This window comes from Homo sapiens, chromosome 7, assembly GCF_000001405.40.
Source record: "Homo sapiens chromosome 7, GRCh38.p14 Primary Assembly".
Classification (NCBI taxonomy): Eukaryota; Metazoa; Chordata; class Mammalia; order Primates; family Hominidae; genus Homo; species Homo sapiens.
In genome coordinates, this window is record NC_000007.14 from 138349799 (window position 1) to 138357998 (window position 8200).

General features: G+C 44.5%; 1 annotated feature.

The window, feature by feature from the left end:
- Positions 2694–3657: a transcriptional cis regulatory region, noted in NCBI's record as "candidate enhancer chr7.4907 targeted for multiplex CRISPR interference". NCBI's record gives its function as "positively regulates TRIM24 gene expression with high confidence in K562 cells {active_cell/tissue: K562}" and the evidence as "EXISTENCE:mutant phenotype evidence [ECO:0000015][PMID:30612741]".

Here is an 8200-nt window from a genome sequence, read left to right on the forward strand (position 1 = left end):
TCTCAGAAATACTGTACAGAGACTATTTATGCATATGGATGTTATGTGTAAAAATTAGAGTAGAAAACTGTGTCAGTCAAAATATAGAGATTATATATGGTACAAATTCAGCTCTGTGACAGACAACACTAAAATGATTAGAGAAAAACACACTTGCCAAAAAATATAAGCCTAAGTCTAGTAGGACTGAAAATGTGCCAAAAGAGAACATGAGTACAGTGCCAAGTGAAAACCCTCTGTCAAGTGTACCCTCTCTGTCCAGAGAATTGCACAGATGGATTGGAGATGGGGAAAGACAGGACCTCCATCGACGTGAACATCCAATAGCTGCAATAGACAGTCTAGGCTTTCATTCATTGCAGTACACATAAAACACACTCAAGGAGATTGAAAAAAAAACCCTCAAGCATCCCATATTCTGATTCTGATCAAATGGAACTGCTTCACAGACTGATTTTCCTGAGGATTCCATAAGAACACTTTTCCAAGCCCAGGAGCAGTGGCACAGGCTTATAATCCCAGCACTTAGAGAGGCCGAGGCAGTTGCATCACCTGAGGTCAGGAGTTCAAGACCAGCCTGGCCAACATGGTGAAACCCCATCTTAACTAAAAATACAAAAATTAGCTGGGCACAGTGGCTCACACCTGTAATCCAAGCTACTCGGAAGGCAGAGGCAGGAAAATGGCTTGAACCTGGGGGGTGGAGGTTGCAGTGAGCTGAGATCGTGCCACTGCACTCCAGCCTGGGCAACACTCTTCCAGCTATACTCATCTGCTATGAAACCATCGCCAAGGAAATTTTATAAAACTGATTAAGGGAAAAAAAATAAAATTCAACTAGGCTTGCAGCATAATCAGCAGTAATCATTCAGCCAGCTTGCCCTTTTGCCCACTTCCTTGTAGCTTGTTGCTGCTTACTGCCCCAGGATAACGTAGCCCTTGTCACAAGACTCTGTTCATTTTCTGTTCTATAGATAAAATCTAAGACATTGTGAAGTAAGCTTTCCATTTCAATTTCTCTTTTAGGTTCTGCTCACTGATAAAACTACTGACGTCAGCTGTTCTGAAGGACCCAGCAAGGAGCTGACTCATGGAAGATTGCAGTTTCTACCTAATGATCTCATCCTCCTTACCCTGACCAATCAATGACCCCAATTTTCCAGCCCCTCATCATCCATGATCCACTTAAAAACCTTTCCCCAGAACTCCTTGGAGAGATGGATTTGAGACTTGAGGATTCCATCTTTCTCCTCACTCAGTGGCCTTGGGATTACTAAGCTCCTTCTCTGCTGCAAACCCCACTGTCTCAGTGTATTGGTTTATTGCTATACACAGGCAAACAAATCTGCCAATCCTATAAGACTTAGGAGTCTCCAAAAGTCTCTTAGACTCAGATTTGGGATTTTACCTGGGTGGAGGTAGATCTCTTTGTCTCTCTTACTGATACTCTGTGAATAATTAAAAGTGGGAGAGGGTGTGAATTTTAAAATCTTTGAAAACAACCCTACCTTTGCATGATTGTGTTTCTCTAAATAGACTTATGGGGTGAATATTGTCTGTTATCAAGAAATTATTGAGATTCTTAATTAGAGTTTTCAAAATTCAAACTTGACACTACTAATTTCACCTTCTCCTTTTTATGTTATTTTTAAATTTTTAAATTTTTATTTTTTTGAAACAGAGTCTCGCTGTGTTGCCCAGGCTGGAGTACAGTGGCATGATCTTGGCTCTCCGCAACCTCCACCTCCTGGGTTCAAGTGATTCTTCTGCCTCAGCCTCCCAAGTAGCTGGGGCTATGGGTGTGCACCACAACACCCAGCTAATTTTTCTATTTTTAGTAAAGATGGGGTTTCACCAAGGTGGCCAGGCTGGTCTCAAACTCCTGGCCTCAAGTGATCCACCTGCTTCAGGCTCCCAAAGTGCTAAGATTACAGGCGTGGGCCACTGCACCCGGCCATCTTCTCTTTCTTAATTTAATCTCTATGTAATTATTTTCAAAGAGAGAAAAATTAATGTTCTTAATTTTCATATCTTATTAACAATTTATTTTTTAATGGCATTATTTTTAAAATGGCAAATATAAAAATCTCAAGGGGCTGGTGTCCCTGGAATTTTTTTTTTTTTTTTTGTCATTGTTGTTTGGTTTTATTCACTGCTAAGAGTCATATGAAGTCCCTGGGCTTAAATGCTAGATCTAATAATGAAGATAATTTGGCAGTCATAGTGGCCCAGAGCATGAATTCAGTCAGAAAGGTCTCAAAGACACAGATTTCTATCAGTGTATATAGATAGCCTATTTCTCTATTTCTCCCAGCTTTTTTTTTTTTTTTGAGATGGAGTCTCGCTCTGTCGCCCAGGCTGGAGTGCAGTGGCTCGATCTCGGCTCACTGCAACCTCTGCCTCCCGGGTTCAAGTGATTCTCCTGCCTCAGCCTCCCAAGTAGCTGGGACTACAGGCGCCCGTCACCACACCTGGCTAATTTTTGTATTTTTTAGTAGAGATGGGTTTCACCATATTGGCCAGGCTGGTCTCCAACTCCTAACCTCAGGTGATCTGCCCACCTCGGCCTCCCAAAGTGCTGGGATTACAGACATGAGCCACCACACCCAGCCTATTTCTCCCAGCTTTATAGGCCCTGGACAAATGCCTAAAATGTTGTAAACTCCCACAAATAAGGGAGAGAGCCTAATATTCCAAAAGAAAATGGAGGGGCAAAGAAGTATTAATATTTATGGCTATAAAAGACAATATATAACATATTAAATCTGAATGCTGGCCAAGTAGATGATTGTGGCCAGCGGCATTCCTCAAAGATGGTCACAGCGTTATCTCCCATCCTTTGTACTCATCTGCAATGTGGCCTTCACATTCTTCCTATGATGAAATGGGGTCTACTTTCCTCCCCTTTACTCCAGGCTGACTTGTGACTCATTGCCTTTCAAGGTTAGATCAGACGAGGCATTGCAGCTTCCGCCCTGCTCACTAGAATACTCACTGTTGAAATCTGCAACTGCTAGATAAGTAGTGCAACTACCCTGAGGCCCGGACTAGCCCAACCCAGTCGCATGGTGAGACCTGGAGAGGCCAGATAGTGAGAGAGTGGAGGGCCGGCCCCAGCGGCTCTAGCCCCATGCTGTTGCAGCCCCAGCCATTCTCTGACAGCAACCTCAGGAAGGATCCCAAGCCAGACCCACCCAGGCAAGCCCTCTTGCAGCAAAGCCCTCCCCCTCACCCACACAAACCAGGTGTGTCCTAAAGGAAAAGTACTGAAGGGCCTTAAGGGACATGATCAGGCCATCTCTGTCCACCAACTGGTGTTTATCAAAGTTAGGCTCCTACGCTTCCACAGAGACTGGAAGACAGGGGCCTTATCTTTCCTAATGATATTTCAAAGGGATGGCTCCCAGGTCCTTGAAAAACATATTCCACAGTTGAAGAAAATAGATATACACCTCAAAAAGACAGAGAAAGGATTTACAATTGCAAGATTTCAAAGGTAAATGGTCCAAGACAAAGGAGGTCAGGGGTCTATCATCAGGTTTTGGCTGCAACTAACAGTAAATTCTTTTGGCAACCTTAAGTTTTTACAGGCAGAAATGTAAGGGGGGCTGGGTTATCCCGGGGCATGGCCTTTGGCCACTAGAAGCCCTACTGGAGATTAGTTAACTCTCTTAGTGTGGAGGTTGAATTGTGTGTTTCTTCTTCTGGAGACTTTTTCACAGCTCTATTTTGCTTTATTTATTTTATTTTATTTTATATTATGAGGCAGCATCTCGCTCTGTCACTTAGGCTGGATTGCAGTGGCATGACCATGGCTCACTGTAGCCTCATTCTAGGCTCAAGTGATCCTCTCATCTCAGCCTCTCAAGTAGCTAGAACTACAAGCATGCACCACCATGCCTGGCTAATTTTTATTTTTTATTTTATTTTTAATAGAGATGGGGTCTTGCTATGTTTCCCAGGAACTCCTGAACAAGCAATCCTCCCACCTCAGCCTCCCAAACTGCTAAGAGTATAGGTGTGAGCCAGTTCTTGCAGTCCTCAATTGTTACACACAAAAAATAACAAAGAACAAACTTTGTTACCTAAAAACGAAGTGCCTTTGTATCCAAAACCTAAAACAGGTAGCATTAGCTTTTTAGTTTTTCTTTGAGACACAATCACCCAGGCTGGAGTACAGTGGCAAGATCATAGCTCACTGCAACCTCCACCTCCCAGGTGCAATGATGCTCCCACCTCAGCCTCCCAAGTAGTTTGGACTACAGGCACTTGCCACCACGCCCAGCTAATTTTTTTGTATTTTTTTGTAGAGATGGGTATCTCACTATGTTGCCCAGGGTTGTCTTGAACTCCTGAGCACAAGTGATCCACCTACCTCAGCCTCCCAAAGTGCTGGGATTACAGGCCTAAGCCACCACACCTAGCCAGCTTTTTTTTTTTTTTTTCTAACGGATTTTGCTGTGTCACTCAGGCTGGTGTACAGTGGTGTGATCATGGCTTACTGCAATCTCAAATCCTGGGCTAAAGTGATCCTCCCACCTTGGCTTCTCAAGTAGCTGGGACTACAGGTGTATACCACCACACCCAGCTAATCATTTATTGATTGATTGATTGATTCTTGAAATGGAGTCTCACTCTGTTGCCCAGACTGGAGGGCAGTGGCACAATCTCGGCTCACTGTCACCTCCGCCTCCCAGGTTCAAGTGATTCTCCCATCTCAGCCTCCCAAGTAGCTGGGACTATAGGCACACGCCACCATGCCTGGTTAATTTTTGTATTTTTAGTAGATATGGGGTTTTACCATGTTGGTCAGGCTGGTCTCAAACTCCTGACCTTAAGTAATCCACCCACCTCAGCCTCTTAAAGTGCTGGGATTACAGGCATGAGCCACCACACCTGGCCAGTTTGTTTTTGTTTTTGTTTTTAAGACAAGGTCTCACTCTGTTGCCCAGGCTAGAGTGCAGTGGTGCGATTATAGATCACTGCAGCCTTGGTATCCGAGGCTCAAGCGATCCTCCTCAGCCTCCTGAGTAGCTGGGACTACAAGTGTGCCACCGTGCCCAACTAATTTTTTGTAGAGATGAGGTCTTACTATGTTTTCCAGGCTAGTCAAGCAATCCTCCCTCCTCAGCCTCCAAAGTGTTGGAATTACAGGCGTGAACCACCATGCCAGGCCCACAATACAATTACTGTATAAAAAGCAGTAAAAAAAAAAAAAAATTCCCAGCAACTTGGGAGGCTGAGGCAAGAGAATCGCTTGAACCCAGGAAGCAGAGGTTGCAGTGAGCCGAGATTGCACCATTGCATTCCAGCCTGGGCAACAAGAGTAAACTCCATCTCAAAACAACAACAACAAAATCAAAATAATAGCTGGGTGCAGAGGCGTGCACTTGTAGTCCCAGCTACTGGGGAGGCTGAGAGTAAACTCCATCTCAAAACAACAACAACAAAATCAAAATAATAGCTGGGTGCAGAGGCGTGCACTTGTAGTCCCAGCTACTGGGGAGGCTGAGGCAGGAGGATGGCTTGAGCCCAGCAGTTCAAGGCTATACTGAGCTAAAGCCATGATTGCACCACTGCACTCTAGCTGGGCAATAGAGTGGGACCCCATTTCAAACAAAAAAAAAAGTAAAGAAGAGCAATTTTACTGTGGTGTTAATTCCACCTAACATGAGTAACTCCATTTTGAGACATTAGGATCACAGATCATTATTATTTATCAAACTAACTACAAAACATGTAAATATATTCCATTAAATCAGGCCTAAATATAGCCCCAATTCGTCTTCCCTCTTGCCCGATTTCAAAAATGCCTATAACCACTTCAATGATACCACCATGAGAAGCTACAGTGAAAAGAGAAAATAGTCTTAACATAATGGTGTAAAATTCTACTTTTGCGATCTTTACGAAAATGCAATACCTTACTAGGACTCCTCAGAGGAATGCTAGGACTCCTCAGAGGAATGTGGATAGATCCTATGCAAGTGAAGATCTATAAAGTTTAAAGTAAGCCCATCTATGTGTGTGTGTTTCTTTTCTTTTATAATTTAAAGGGTTTTGTTACATTTTTAACAACTTGAGATATAATATACATATCATTAAACTCACCTGTCTAAAGAGCACAAGAGTTTTTAATACATCTAAGAAGCTGTACAACTATCCACAATCTATATTTAGAACATTTTCTTTTCTTTTGAGATGGAGTCTCACTCTGTCGCCCAGGCTGGAGTGCAGTGGCATGATCTCGGTTCGCTGCAACCTCTGCCTCCCTGAATATAAGCGATTCTCCTGCCTCAGCCTCCCAAGTAGCTGGGGTTAGAGGCATGTATCACCAAGCCCAGCTAATTTTTGTATTTTTAGTAGAGATGGGGTTTTGCCATGTTGACCAAGTTGGTCTCGAACTCCTGGCCTTAGGTAATCCACCCACCTAGGCCTCCCAAATTGCTGGGATTACAGGCGTGGATGACCGCGCCTGGCCTCCATTTGTTTTTTATATGTGCCCACAACAGAAGTAGAGACAGTGTGATTTGGATACTACACAGGTCTGCTAATAAAAAGTACATAAATAAATATTAAATAAGTTAATTAATTAAAAGAGTGCAATGGATCCTTAGCAGCACTGTCCGCTGCAGACAGCATTGCTGATCAGGCCCTGTCTCTAGGCCTCAGCTGTTGAAACTTTCAAGGGCAATACAGACGGCTTTCTGCCAATCCCTGTTAAGTACTAATGTGAGGAAAACCCACTGTGCCAGTAGAGGAAGCCTCCATACAAGAGTTTTCAAGTAAATTTCACTGCCCAGTTTATCAAACTTTCCATGTGGAGTGCTTCCTTCCCACTCCTACCCGAATTCTCAAACTCACCCTCAAGGAGTTTGTTTTGTTTTGTCATTTGTCTTTTTTTTTTTTTTTTTTTTAGAGACAGGGTCTTGCTGTGTCACTCAGGCTAGAGTGCAGTGGCAGGATCCTAGCTCACTTCAGCCTCCACCTCCTGGGCTCAAGCAACCCTTCCACCTTAGCCTCCTGAGCAGCTGGGACTACAGGTGCATGCCACCAAGCGCAGCTAATTTTTGGAGAGATGGGGTCTTCTTGTGTCACCCAGACTGGTCTGGAAATCTTGGGCTTGAGCAATCCTCCAGTCTCAGCCTCCCAAATTGCTGGGATTACAGGCTTGAGCCACTGTGCCTAGCCCTGGCTGGGGCTTTTTTTTTTTTTTTTTTTTGACAGGGTCTCTCTTTTGCCCAGGATAAGGGCTGTGGTGATCGCAGCTCACTGCAACCTCGATCTCCCAGGCTCAAGCCATCCTCCCACTTCAGCCTCACTCAGAGCTGAGACTATAGGTGCTCGCCACCAAGTCCAGTTAATTTTTGTATTTTTTGTAGAGACGGGGTTTCACCATATTGCCCGGGCTGGTCTCGAACTCCTTAGCTCAAGTGATCCTCCCACCTAAGCCTCCCAAAGAGCTAGGATTCCAAGAGTGAGCAAGGGTGCCCGGCCAGGTTTTTTTTTTTAACAAAAGAATCAACCGATGCCTCACAAGAAACAAACGCAGCGCCTGCTTCAGTACCAGTCCAAGGAGTGGTCCTGTTTACCTTTTTGCCCCTCCCTGCCTCCCTGCCTGTGTCTGCTTTTTTTGCAAGGAAAAAAAAAATCAAGACAAATGAAGGTGGGAGATCCGCCAGCTCTGTACAAACGCAGGCATTAGAGGCTGGCCAGAGCAGGCGGGAGGGCGAGAAACACCCTACTTTGCATCTCATTCATGATATGGGTTTTTTTTTTCTTTGAGACGGAGTCTCGCTCTGTCGCCCAGGCTGGAGTGCAGTGGCGCGATCTCGGCTAACTGCAAGCTCCGCCTCCCAGGTTCATGCAGTTCTCCTGCCTCAGCCTCCCGCGTAGGTGGGACTACAGGCCCCCGCCACCATGCCCGGCTAATTTTTTGTATTTTTAATACAGACGGGGTTTCACCGTGGTCTCGATCTCCTGACCTCGTGATCCGCCCGCCTCGGCCTCCCAAGTTGTGGGATTACAAGCATGAGCCATGGCGCCCAGCCATTCATGATGTGGTTTTGCAGCTTCTGATTAGTTAATACTGCCACCCCCAGAAAATGTCTCACATACCAGAAGAATGAAGTCCTAACAGCTTAAAGGGTGTTTTCTTTTTTTCTTTTCTTTTCTTTTCTTTTTTTTTTTTTTTTTTTTT